The 13182-nt window shown below is 38.8% G+C and overlaps 2 protein-coding genes across 4 annotated transcripts in view, besides 6 other annotated features; one reads left to right on the plus strand and one right to left on the minus strand.

Moving 5' to 3' along the window:
• Positions 1-1729, minus strand: part of NAA50 (N-alpha-acetyltransferase 50, NatE catalytic subunit) — a 29792-nt gene extending 28063 nt beyond the window's left edge. For both annotated transcript variants that reach the window (NM_001308445.2, NM_025146.4), the window contains exon 1: positions 1422-1729. In NM_001308445.2, the coding sequence (NP_001295374.1) occupies positions 1422-1429 (8 nt within the window). In that variant the 5' untranslated portion in view covers positions 1430-1729. The remainder of the gene's footprint in view (positions 1-1421) is intronic.
• Positions 573-1309: an enhancer, noted in NCBI's record as "NANOG-H3K27ac-H3K4me1 hESC enhancer chr3:113463940-113464676 (GRCh37/hg19 assembly coordinates)". NCBI's record gives its function as "activates a minimal SCP1, AML or CMV promoter by ChIP-STARR-seq in naive H9 embryonic stem cells {active_cell/tissue: H9 hESC(naive)}" and the evidence as "EXISTENCE:reporter gene assay evidence [ECO:0000049][PMID:30033119]".
• Positions 913-1062: an enhancer, noted in NCBI's record as "active region_20261". NCBI's record gives its function as "activates an Ori minimal core promoter by ATAC-STARR-seq in GM12878 lymphoblastoid cells {active_cell/tissue: GM12878}" and the evidence as "EXISTENCE:reporter gene assay evidence [ECO:0000049][PMID:35858748]".
• Positions 1310-2045: an enhancer, noted in NCBI's record as "NANOG-H3K27ac-H3K4me1 hESC enhancer chr3:113464677-113465412 (GRCh37/hg19 assembly coordinates)". NCBI's record gives its function as "activates a minimal SCP1, AML or CMV promoter by ChIP-STARR-seq in naive H9 embryonic stem cells {active_cell/tissue: H9 hESC(naive)}" and the evidence as "EXISTENCE:reporter gene assay evidence [ECO:0000049][PMID:30033119]".
• Positions 1633-1752: a silencer, noted in NCBI's record as "silent region_14610". NCBI's record gives its function as "represses an Ori minimal core promoter by ATAC-STARR-seq in GM12878 lymphoblastoid cells {active_cell/tissue: GM12878}" and the evidence as "EXISTENCE:reporter gene assay evidence [ECO:0000049][PMID:35858748]".
• Positions 2046-2781: an enhancer, noted in NCBI's record as "NANOG-H3K27ac-H3K4me1 hESC enhancer chr3:113465413-113466148 (GRCh37/hg19 assembly coordinates)". NCBI's record gives its function as "activates a minimal SCP1, AML or CMV promoter by ChIP-STARR-seq in naive H9 embryonic stem cells {active_cell/tissue: H9 hESC(naive)}" and the evidence as "EXISTENCE:reporter gene assay evidence [ECO:0000049][PMID:30033119]".
• Positions 2103-2472: an enhancer, noted in NCBI's record as "active region_20262". NCBI's record gives its function as "activates an Ori minimal core promoter by ATAC-STARR-seq in GM12878 lymphoblastoid cells {active_cell/tissue: GM12878}" and the evidence as "EXISTENCE:reporter gene assay evidence [ECO:0000049][PMID:35858748]".
• Positions 2515-13182, plus strand: part of ATP6V1A (ATPase H+ transporting V1 subunit A) — a 65022-nt gene continuing 54354 nt past the window's right edge. For both annotated transcript variants that reach the window (XM_047448306.1, NM_001690.4), the window contains exon 1: positions 2515-2593. The gene's annotated coding sequence lies outside the window, so the exon portion shown is untranslated. The remainder of the gene's footprint in view (positions 2594-13182) is intronic.

The raw sequence follows: 13182 nt of genomic DNA on the forward strand, positions 1-13182 counted from the left end.
CAACATTCTCCAAATATGTTGGATTGTATCTGAAATAGCCAAACTTCCAAGATCATGATTCAAGTGGAGCAAATACTTCCTATACCCGTCAATTATATTTCCCTAACTGGAACTCTTTACAACTTGATGTGAAACAATGCAGGTACTGTGAATAGTTCATGGTTCTTAAACTTTAAAGATTATTAGTACAAAACATACAATTCAACATTAGAATAAATATCCAGTATTTAAAGGAAAATTAAAGTAAGGAAACATGTTACAGACCTAAGACCAAATTAAACTTTCTTGGAATCTCTTCAGGAACCTCAAATACCGATACACAGAGGTAATATTTAGGTCCTTGTTTGGGGCAGTATGAGATTACGTTGAAAGTGACTTTTATTTCATCCTCAAAAGTGCTATTGAATAGTTGGAATGACTTCGTTAACTTAAAACATAGTTACGACTTCTTAATCGACTTACAACAACAAACTATGGCATCGCAGAGAGCTTTTTAACGTTTATGAGCTTCATCTCTTTGAGGGTAAAGACAAGCTCCAAAACGGCTTGAGACAATGCTTCGGAAAAATGTTACGTAATTAATACATTAAAACTATACAACTTAATGGTAAGGAGACATTTCATAAAAACTTAACCAGTCGATCCAAAATAATTCCTAATTTTACGTAAGAGGCAAACGGTGAAAGACCGAACATTAACTTTGCCAATCACCTGAAAGGAGCAGCGTGGTAGAACTACCCAGGACCGCCTCAGCACTCAGGGGCAATAGTGAACTACTGAAGCAACAGCTCCACCTACTGATCCACCCTATACTTCCTTAAATATGTTGGCACCCCAAGTCTACAGTGATCGCGCTCTCTCCCCCTCCTCCACTCGCTGTGACCCAACCCAAATCTAGTTGAGTCACTAGCTCTTAATACTCATCCCCGTGCTCTTTATTCCAATTTCTTCTTCCTCCAGAAGGTTCTGCACAGCTCCCAAGCGTGAATTAAACTGAAAGGTGTCAAACACCGCAGTTCCAGAGTTGAGTCTGGAGGTGGAAGACAACCAAACCACTCCACCTGGAGCTGCGGGCCGGCGTGGCTCAGCGGTCCGCTCCCGGGAAGGAGGCCCCGGGCGCTTCACAATAGCCTTTCCATGTTGCCCCACTCGGTCGCTTCTCCCCACTCAACAACCCACACTCGTCTCCGAACCGAAACCCTGAAGCCCCCCGGGTCTTGCCTCCGCTGGCCCTTCAGCCCGCCAACAGCCCGAGCCTCGCCTCCGCCCCCTCCGGGAGCCGAGGGAACTGAGAAGCAGAGAAATCTCCCTCCGCCCGTCTTCGCCCTGAATCTCTCCTCGCCTTTGCGGCTCTCCCCCTCTACATGGGCCCGGACCCTTCTACCCCACCGGCCGGGCCCTGCCCGGCTGCCCTTCCTCACCCTTTCATCTTCCCCGCCTGCTGAGGCCGTCGTTACCACCGATATCAACGCCGTCGTAGTCGCCGCCCTTAGGTCTCCGCACCCTTAGCTCGGGCCACTCAACCCCGCAAGCCGGCCTCCTAGCCTGGGCAGGGAGCTGTGCGAGCAACGAAGGCCGCGAGAGTCGAGTGAGGGCTTGAGTCTGGTGGGGGCGGGAGTGTCTCCCGCCGCCGCGCTTGTGCCGCCGCTTCTCCACACGTGCACTCGGGTCTCTCGGCTCCCTCCCGCCGCTGCCGCCAGCCAGACCCGCTGCCGCGCTGTGACCTTTCACCCCGCCCCTCGCGCGCCGGCGCGCCGCCGCCTCACGCGCAGCCGCACTGCTCGCCTCCGCGCACCCTGCCCCCTCCACTCCGGAACCTCCATCTTTCTCCTGGACTGGGCCTTCTGGGGTCATGCTCCTCCCTCCCACCCGCTTACGACACTGCTTGTGGGGCTGGCTCGGTAGGCCCTGGCGGTAAAATCCAGATTTTTCCACCCCTCCCTCTCTTGTCCCATATCCGCAAGATAGTTTTTCTCAGCCCCGTTCTTCCCAGTTTGTGGTCTCCAGAGTGACCTTCAAACGCTGTTGCCTCCTAGTAGGGTTTTATAAAGTTAGTTCTTCTAAATGTAAAGAAATCTGTGGAAAGCTCAAGTTTAAGTTAGGTGTTTTAAAACAAACGTAGTTAACAATCGGCCAGATAGATTGGCTACCCTCCAGCACGCCTCAAGTTTTAAGATCACGTGATTGGCCCAAACCTCAGAGCCTGGAATTTTACCGGCGGACTCCAGAGGGACGGAACGCCACCGCCATTTCCTGTCCCTCGATTGTGGCGTGAACGTCACTTCCTTAGCAATGCGCTTTAACTCTTGCTGTCCACATTTTCCACATTGTACTTTATAACATACTCTTTGTGAAAATTTATCTTTTATTTCTTTAATCCAAGAAAATTAATATTCAAGGGATCCGTAAAAATTCAGGCCCCCCGAGATGTAGAGCGCTGGGATGGAGGAGGCAGGGCGGAGCTCGACGTCATGTGACTGGTTGGGCCCGCCCCCCCCCCCCCCCCCAACCTGTGCAGCTGAGGACTTCCCCTCCGTGGTGACAGCCTCTGGGTCCTCGGTCGGTACAGTCTCTGCACCTCGCGCCCCAGCAGGTGAGCGGCGACCGGTAACTGGCGAGTGGTGGGGATAGAGGGGGTGGAAGGAGGCAGAGGAAGGAGAGAAGGGAGAGTGTGAACGGCGACTTTTCTGCCTGAGGCTTCCTCCCCGCTGTCACCCTGCACCGGCAAGGAGCTCATTTCTCCTTAACCCCCGCTCCCCCAAGTGTGGTCGTTCCCGCTACTTGGGGATTCAGATGTCCACCTTTCCCAGGGTTGGAAGTGAGTGCGGCCATTATGGTTCCCTACTCAGAGCCTTTGGGGCTTCGGGTAGCAGATTGTTTCAGCCATTTCACAGGGTCTGCAGTAGACATTAGGTCCCATTCCTTAAAGCCCATTCTTTGGCAAAGGTCCTCACTGTCCTTACCCTCAGCTCAGGGCTGAGGAGCGGGGAGGTAGCAAAAACCCTGGAGGCAGAGGCGTCTCCGGTGAGACAGGCTTGGGAGGGACTGTCACTGATACGGCCCTCACTGCAGAGTCACTGTGAAGCTTCCCTCCGAATGTGCTTTCTCAGTGATTCTAAGGATTTTATCTGACATACCTGCAGGGAAGGTTCCGTAGATGTTCACGTGCTTCGGATGGGACTAGAAAAGTAAAAGAAGGGCTTTTACTTTTTCTTCTCTGCAGAGAGGACAGTTGAAGGAATACTGTCTTCAAAACAGGAGGTGTTAGTAATGCGACAGTCTCGATTGAATGAGGAGGCGTTGAAAGATGGTATTGTGGTGTTGTGGTGTGCAGGAGGCCCAGGCTGGTTTAGGGAAGAGTGAGTAGGGTTCCCTGAAACCGAAATAAGAAACTGATTGGGTTGGAAATAGTTAAACCAAATTGATTTGGCCATATGCTTAAAGGTAGAATCAAGTCGAGATGTTGCTGTCTGCACATGTTTTCTGCCGTCAATCCTTCCCTTTTTGTCATTTTCCCCTAAAATACTACTGAATTGGCACTCCCAATCTATTCCTTGATCGGCTTTGTGGTAAATTTAGGTTAAGTAGCATTTGTATCCCTCTTTAGCTTTCCCCATTTGTAAAACTCCCGGTGCCCTCTTCAGATTTTGATGAATAGTATTTTGTGAAAATACAGAAATTGTTGTCCAATTGAAAATACAGGTGTTGTCCAACCCAAGTACTCCCATTCCGTCCATAATGTATTATTACCAATGTTTTGATCCCAAACAATGTGCTTTAGGGAAGAATGTTTTTCAGTTTGTGGTTAAACTCTTTTATTTATACTGCAAACTCAGAAAATTCCATGCTGCTTTTCAATTGAAGGTCTTACGAATATTACAAATTTGATTTTTAAAATTTAAATTACACCTTTCTTAATATGAAAAATTATATGCTCAGTTAAATCTTGTAGTTTTCTAACTAAGGTAATTAAAGAAGACTGCTGGAAAATGAGGAAGATGGAATCATCTTTGGTGGATGTGACTGATTTATTTTTGTTTTTCTGTGTCTTCCAAATTCTATACAATAAACGGTCTTATTTTGTTAAGGAGAATAAAAAGTTAAAATTCTACAATAGCAGCAGTTTAACAAAGTATTTTTATAGTAAGTGCAAAATACATAACCTAGCTTATTGATGCTCCTTAGTAGAAAACATAACCTCGGAGATGTTGCTTTCCCCAAGTAATGAAGATTACTACTATCTCTTGTGGATTTACCATTTTAGCATTTCGTACTTACGACCCATACTGGACAATAGACTAATGTATTGATATATTTATGTCATCATGCCTGCTGTAGATATATATATGTAGTTTTATCCATTAATTTTCTCCATAATAAGGTTCCTTGATCTCTAGAGGAGAGGGGAAGAAAAAAAGGAAGTGTTACTTCAGTGACCAGGTGACATTGCACCACGTAAGGAGAATTCCTTATGTGGTCTGGAAGTCCTAACTAGTCCTGTCTGGCTGAGACCAAAATGTGAAAGAGAAAACCAGCTAGAAGCATTGACTACTAGAGGGGAAAATGTCAGTATGAAAGTGGTTGGATGAGTCTGCAGTTTTACTTCACAATTCCCCCAGTTTTAGGGAACTCGTGAAAGCAATAACTTAGACCACTGATGAAATGTAGATTAGTAGTGGGAATTGGTGATTACATTGCTAGTAAGGTTAAATGTGAAAAAAAGCTTTGACATTATACACAGATCACACACACACACACACACACACACACACACACACACACACACGATTGGAAGCCTGGAAAACATTTCTGAGACTAGCCTTATCAGTTTATGAGTGTTACATGTAGAAATCTTAACATTTATTAGGGAATTGTGCTATAGTCCACTATTAAATAAAGCATAAGGGTTTGGTTTTATTTTAGGGCCCTTGGCACTTCTGGTTTTCTTTTCCTGAGTTCTTGTTTTCAGTGCCTTTATAGATTTTTGCCACCACTAAGAATGCTTTCTTCCCCATGGGCAGAGGTAGCCACTCAGTCCTATAGACTACTACTAATCATCATCATCATCTTTTCTATTCTTCTACTTGCACTTCTAGCATTGTATTTAATTCCTGTTCCCTGGGCTCTTCCTCAGCAAATCATAAAGCTCTCAGGACTGTGAACTATAATACTATTGTGTCTTCAGCACCAGAATACTGAAGTACCTGATAGGTACTCAATAAATTATTTATTGAATGAATGTTGGGCAATTAGACAAAGAAATTAAACCACTTTAATTTTTGCAGATCATAGCTCTTCCTAAAGTTGTGCACTAAATGTTAGCTTTTAAATATAAACTGGTAATAACCTTCCAAATTCATGGTCAATACAATAGATAAAAACCTCAGATGGACTTTATTAATGCTGAGACCAACTTATTTTCACAGCATGTTTGTTTACTAATAAGTATGGTTATCATCAAAATATGGGAGAGAAGGGAAGAGGAATGAATCGTACTAAATGAAAAAGTGGCTCTGCGTGATCTATAAGTGGACTAGCACTAGACTAAAAGTCAGAGGATCTTCATTCAGCTCTGCCACTTTAGTTATATGTCCTTTTACGTAATGCTGGGGAGGGGTTCAGGTTTGATACTTAGGAACCTTCCTATGACATAAACCCTAGGTAATCTATGTGAAAATATCTTAAAAACTAAGTGGTGTCTGTAATCCCAGTGCTTTGGGAGGCCAAGGCGGGCAGATCACAACGTCAGGAGATCGAGACCATCCTGGCTAACACGGTGAAACCCTGTCTTTACTTAAAAAAATTAAAAAAATTAGCCAGGCATGGCGGCACGCGCCTGTAGTGCCAGCTACTCAGGAGGCTGAGGCAGGAGAATCACTTGAACCCGACAGGTGGAGGTTGCAGTGAGCCAAGATCACACCACTGCGCTCCAGCCTGGGCAACAGAGTGAGACTCCATCTCAAAAAAAACAAAAACAAAAACAAAAAAAACTAAGTGGTGTGTAAAATGGTAAAGCAGTGTAGCTCAGACTTTACATGAATTGATTTCCCAGTCATAGAGACCTAGTTGAAGTTCTGGCCCTACCACTTAATAACTGTGTGACTTTGGACAGTGTACTTAAGTAAGGTTAAGTTTTCTCACGTTTAAATCTATAGATGGTGCTATTAAGTTAGATCATGAATGTAAAATGCCTAGAACATATTTTGTAAAAAAAATTTTTAATTAATTTTACTGATAACTACTTTGATTTTATATACTGAATTTCTAAAGACTTAAGACAACCCACAGAATTGACTGATGTCCCTGTGAGCAGCAGGTTTGGGGCATGAAGAAGAGAGTAGAATTTGAAAAGAAGCTATTACCCAAAAAATGGGGGAACAAGAAAAGTGTACTTGTAGCAAAGATTCTAAAACAGATTTATTAATTTTATCTGAAAAATATCAAGATAAAGTCCCTTATTTGGGCAACTGCAGTGTCTTAATATTTTCTATATAAAGATTTTCCAAAGCTTGTAATCATTAATGTATGGAATAAATTTAAGGAGGCAGTTCTTCAATTTTGAAGTTTTTATTCCTGCAATGGATTATAGAAGTATATTAAAATTGTACAGATTGTAGAGCAGGGACTTTTGAGTTAATGCTTATAAGCTTAAAAATTTTGTCTTTTTAAAAAAATTAAGTGTTTTTATATCTTATTTTTATCCTTATATGAAATAGACAAAGAAATGTAGAGAACATAATGGAGACATAAACTAGAGTAAAATTCTTCCCTTCTTAAATTCATGATTCACAAGGGTTAGTAGTTTTGCAATGGAAAATATCAGCAAATTAAACAGTAAGTATAGCTATCATGAGTTTATGAATCACTTTATTCCTGAAAAAAAAAATTACTCATTTGTCTTAAGGAAAGATTTTATTAAGTTTATTGACTTTTCCTTAATGTTGATTGTCTATTATAACAAATGGATTTATTGATTTAGGAATGAATTTATTCTTTATACTAAGTAACTTTATTTTAAATAAATGAAATGTGAGCAATAAAAATGTTTTCCATATAATTTCTGAAGAGAATATTAGTTTTGCTATTCTCTTTTTTCCCTATGGTGAAATGATAGCGACTTTGGTTTTTATAAGTGTATTCATTTATATTTAGTATATACATATTATGTATATACTATATATAGAGTAAATATTTGTAGTATATAAAGTACGCAATGTGTGTGTATGTATATATAAAGACAGCTGAAGTGGTTGTGTATCTTCGTAGTAACATATTTATTTTTACCTGAAACTACTGAAGTGATCTTTAGAATAATGATTTATTTACATTTGAAACTCCTCTTTCTGTATATTTCTTTGTAGTTAGCTCTAGTTAATAAATTTACAACTGTGATTAGCTGTTTTTAAAAATTAATGGTATATCATAAGTATTTTCAGATTTAAATTTTAGAAGGAAACACTTTCTTATATCTTAAGGTTTTAAAAATCACTATTATTTTTGGTATTATTATGACTAACAACAAAAATTTCAGTTTTGGATCTTAATGCTATCTGTTGAAACTGTTCTCTTGGTAAGCCTTTAAAAAAATTTTATCTGCAACATGCCACATTTTGTTTCTTTTCTGAAAAATAATTAAGCTTATTTCACTGAAAATAAAATGGGTGGTATATGATATGATATAGAAGAGTTTCAGATGTGCTTGAGCAATGAAAAGCAACCAGACTTTATAAGTTTTTAGTTCTTAGTTTAATTTTTTTAATGTTTAAAGGTACAATAGAGAAGACTAATTGAATTGGAAAATACCTTTAAAATTGAAAAAAGAGCATATGTATAATAATAATAGTATATACATATGGAAAAAGTTGTAAGGAAATGCATCAAAATAAGTAATTATCTCTAGATTGATGCATTAAAGAAAAAATTAAAATTTATTACTATACCTTCTGTATATTTGAATTCATAATGTCAGTAGGCATTGCAAAATATTTCTTAATTTGATATGGAAAATTAAGGCACCTAAATAATTCTTTCATCTTAACTACTTGGATATCTTAAGTGAAAATGTTTTGTCTCATCCAGGTAGCTGAGTAAGTTATTTAATTTTATAGGTGTGTAAATATATTTTTAATTTTAAGTATATAAGTGCAGCAGAATTTTAAAAAGCAGAGTAAATCTCAGTATATAAGATAATTTACCACATTTCAAAGGGATAATTCAATCCAATGGTGAAAAAGGGCACATATATATCATAAATGTTAACTGATACAACTTGCTCATCTAGAAGAAAATATAATTGATCCAATACATTGCAACAGATGCAAAAACTGATTTCAGATGGATTAGAGGCTTAAATGTAAACAATAAAATATTTAAGATATTAATCTCCTAAATTTCCTTTATACAAACAATCCAGATGTAGTTTTTTAAACCAAGATAGGAAACCTAAAAGTCATAAAAGTATGGATAGACACATGAGACTGCATGGAAACGAAGGATTCTTTAGTGGCAAAAATAAAGGACCAAAGACAAAATCAGGCGGAAAAAAAGGCTTGAGATATATGTAACAGATGAGTTAACCATTGAAAGAACTCTTTCCAATTAAGAAAAAGTTCACCCAGTAAAAATATGGATAAAACATGTCACCAGAAGTTCACAGAAGAGAAATCCAAACATTCAACAAACAGTAAAGGATGTGTAACCTTACTAGTAATCAATATACTAACAATGAAATATTATTTCTCTGACAAGCAAAAATTAAGTGGTAAACCTACTGCTAGCAGGGATATGTGGAGAAGGATTATCTCATAAAATGCTAGCGGAGATGTGAAGTGTTAGAGTTTTTCCTAGTAAACAATCAAGCAACATCAGTTAATACTGAGAATACATGTATTTTCCACCCATCAGTCTAACTCCATGTAATCTTTTCCTTAGAAATAAAAGCACCAGTAAGAGTTTACAGGAGTGTTAGCTGCAACAGTGTTTCAATTTTCAATGTTAGTAGTGGCAAAAAACGTGGAAACAAAGGGAATGCCTGTTAATAGGGGTATTGTTATGTAAATTATGGCCGAGGCATTTTATGGAATGTTGTGAAGTGATTAAATGGTAGGAGTTAAATCTACTGGTGATTAGAAAGGATTTCCAAGTACATTCTGAAAGGATTTCTATCATGTGTCTTTTTTTTTTTTTTTTTCCTGAGACAGGATCTTGCTCTGTTACCCAGATTGGAGTGTACTGGTGCTGTCTTGGCTCACTGCAACTTCCTCCTCTTAGGTTTAAGCTATCCTCCCGCCTCAGCCTCCAGAGTAGCTGGGGCTACAGGTGTGCACCACCACACCTGGCTAATTTTTTGTATATTTGGTAGAGACGGGGTTTCACCTTATTGCCCAGGCCATCATGTATCTTAAGAAAAAAAAATACAAAGTACAGAGAAACATTTGTAATGATAACTCATTTTTTATAAAACCAGTTGAAAAACACCATGAGTTTTGTATATTTTTACCTGGTTGTCACCGTTGGAAAGAGGAAATAAGCAGAAAAGGAAAGAGACAGAATATCCATAGTAACATATTTATATAAAACTACATGTTTGTACATGTCTGTGTATATGATGGATTATGGGAAACAATGGGCACTAAGATGATTTACTTTCTTCCTTACACTTTACATTATATGTTTTTATTTTTACAGTGGACATGAAGTGTTTCTGTAATTAGGAAAAACAGGCTGGGCATGGTGGCTCACGCCTGTAATCCCAGCACTTTGGGAGGCTGAGGCAGGTAGATCGCTTGAGCCCGGTGTTGGAGACCATCCTGGGCAACATGGCAAGACCCCCCTCTACCAGTAAAAACTAAAAATTAAAAAAATTATTTGGGCACGATGGCATGCACCTGTAGTCCCAGCTACTCAAGAGGCTGAGGTGGGAGGATCACTTGATCCCGGGGCATTCAAGGTTTCAGTGAACTGCGAATGTGCCACTGCACTCCAGCCTGGGCGTCAGAGCGACACCCTGTCTCAAAAGTAAGAAAAAAAAAAAGAAAAGAAAAATGTACCAAAAAATGATAGGGACTACTAGATAGGATTACAAATTTGGCATGTTATTTTTGGTATGGATAGTCAGTGCTATCGACACGCTTTCTGCCTTAGAGTGTAGAGCACATTGCACAAGTGTGGGATCTGTCACCTGACTTAATCATATGACAGAATCATAAGAAAAGTCCCTATTTGGGTTTTGGCATATAAACTGGATTACAAGATTAACTTGCCTTAAGAAAACTTTAAACAAGAACTTCTTTAAAGAAGCAAAATAAAAAGTACTTATAATTGTTTAATACTTGATTTCTGTCCTTTTAAAAGTATCTCCGTAGAATACATCATTCAAAGCCTAGACAGAAAATAGCAGATGCTTTAGAGTTGGATTTGTTGCATACTTAAAGTAGCTGTATTTTTTTCTCACATTGGTATTACTTCCCCTTTTCATTACCAGTTTTATTAATTGCATATATGTGCTTTAATGTAAGCTGTCCAAAGTTTTTTTTACAAGAGTTGGGATATATGTAAATAAAAATAATTTTAGAGTAGTATTAATATAACAAAGAGATGAAGGAAACCAGACTGTGTGAGTCAAATCCTGGCTCTGCTTCCTAGTGGTGTGACTTTGGAGGAGTTACTTGTGTCTTTTTGCATTGCATTTTTCTCAACTTTAAAATAAGGATAATAAGAGTATTTAACTTCATTGGATGTTGTGAATAATAGAAGCGATTGGAATAATAACTAGCACATAAGGACCGTATATATATTTGCCAGCTGGGTGCAGTGGCTCACACCTGTAATCCCAGCACTTTGGGAGGCCGATGCAGGCGGATTGCTTGAGCCCAGGAATTGAAGGGCAACATGGCAAAACCATGTCTGTACAAAAAAAAAAAAAAAAAAAATTAGCCAGGCGTGGTGGCACACACATCTAGTTCCCGCTATTCGGGAGGCTGAGGTGGGAGGATTGCTTGAGCCTGGGAGGCAGAGGTTGCAGTGAGCTGAGATCGTGCCACTGCAGACCCTGGGTGACAGAGCCAGACCCTGTCTCAGAAAAATATATATGTAATAATAATATGTGCTATTATTTGCTCAGTCAATTAGGTGCAATATATAATAGTTTTACTTGGCTCAGTTGTTTTAACATTCATTTACTCATCCAACAATATTTTTAATTCAGTTGAATGGGTAATACATGTACAAATATGGTAAAATTTATATATTCATACAAGTGTGTTTTCTCTCCCCTCATCCTTATTCTTTTCTTCCCCCATATATTTATCCACAAATGGTAGCACCTCTTCGTATTATTCTGGACCTTACATTTTTCGCTTGAGTATTACGTTGGAGATCTTTTCACATTGATACAGTTAAAACTGCCTCATTCTTTTTAATGATAGTTTAGTATTCAATTGTATTAATATACCCTCATCATCATATGTAACATTTATTGAGAGCTTACTCCTGATCCAAATGCTTTCTTAATACTTTAGTTTTATTAACTCATGGAAGCCTCATAACAACCTATGAGATAGGCACTATTTTTCTATATTTAACAAATGAGGAAAACTAGGCACGGGATGATTAAATGTCCAACAGTCACACAGTTTATAAGTGGTAGGGCTCAGGATTAGAGCCCAGGGAGTCACTTTCCAGAGATTGCTGCCATAATACCGCTAAACATGTAGCCTGTCATAGTATTACAAGGTATTTAACCAGCCTCCATATTAATGGACATTCCAATCTTTTGCTTAAGAAACAGTGCTATAGTTAATATTTTGTTAATAGAACATTTTGTACATCTACAATAAATTCCTAGAAATGGACTAGCCATGTCAAAGGTAAGTACAATTTGAATTTTGGTGGGCACTGCCAAATTGCTCTCCAATTTAGGGATGTTCAGAAGTTCACCTTTGTCCTTAGTAATTTGCCAAAATCTGCCATTTAGCTTGGGTCTTTGGAAGGTGTGCTTTTAACATTTCTAGCATCCCTGAATTGTGTGTGATCTACCATCATGTAATAGCTTAAGTTACTATCATATGGAATTAATGTAACAATGTCAGTATGAGAGGTGTGACCTTTGGACTTACTACTTTCAAATAACAGTAAGTATTTTAGATATAACTTGAAATACTCCTTAATGTGATTTATACATTGAAATTCTATCAATCGAAGTTTGAATAGATATTGTTGAAAAAGTAAAATGCTGTAATTGTTAATAATTGTGAAGTTGCTGATTTTATGTACCAAAGCAATTATGTAAGAGTGTTCAAATAGTTAAATAGTGAATCAGATTGCATTTGAACATTAAGAGTGTGGTAGCTAGCTAAATAGAGGAATAGCTGGGTCCTTTCTTGTGAAAAGTGAGTTTTTGATAATCCGTGAGTCCTAGTCGTAGGTAATGCAAAATGAGGTAGCGAGGAGCTTTATTTAGATGAGTTATAAAATCCACAAATTATTTTGAATATAACACACTTGGTTTCAGTGCCCAATATTTCACTTGTTCAAGAAAGGAAAAAGTATCTCTATGAATCTAAGAAGCAGATTGACTGACACCAAACTCTTCAATGTGATCCAAAATAGACACTTAAAATACAGAATCTTCTCAGGTCCCAACGTAGTATACCTGCAGTGCCTGAATATGGCCCTGTAGTACCTGCTTATTGTACAGTGGGGCGTGTGTGTGTGTTTTAAATATCACCTCATTCTCCCTAAGGTACTCTACTGGGTATAGGGACAGCTTGGAAAGTAGCTGTAAATAGAGATAAACAGGCTGTCAGAAACAGTTATTTATTGTGAGCTAATTCTACCTCAGAGTAGTATAAAGCAACAGAAAATAACTTTCCCTATACCTCCACCCTCCAAATGAGCCATTGAGCCATATCAACTTTGATGTCCAAATTATTAGAGCTTAATCTGAGTCTTGGACAACAAACCCTTCTATGCCTCATGGCACGAAAGTGTGTTCAAGATGGAGTTAATATTTTCCTAAATTCTCATTCAACATATTGTAAGCTGATATGCCATTAGCCCCATTCTGAAAATATAGATGAATAAAGTACTTAAGAGGCATATCTGACTTCTACACTCCTGAGCTATTAAGTGACTGTGGAAATTCCCAGAATTAGTTAAACTTGGCAGGACCAGAGAGTGCCC

Source organism: Homo sapiens, chromosome 3 (genome assembly GCF_000001405.40).
Source record: "Homo sapiens chromosome 3, GRCh38.p14 Primary Assembly".
Taxonomy (NCBI): domain Eukaryota; kingdom Metazoa; phylum Chordata; class Mammalia; order Primates; family Hominidae; genus Homo; species Homo sapiens.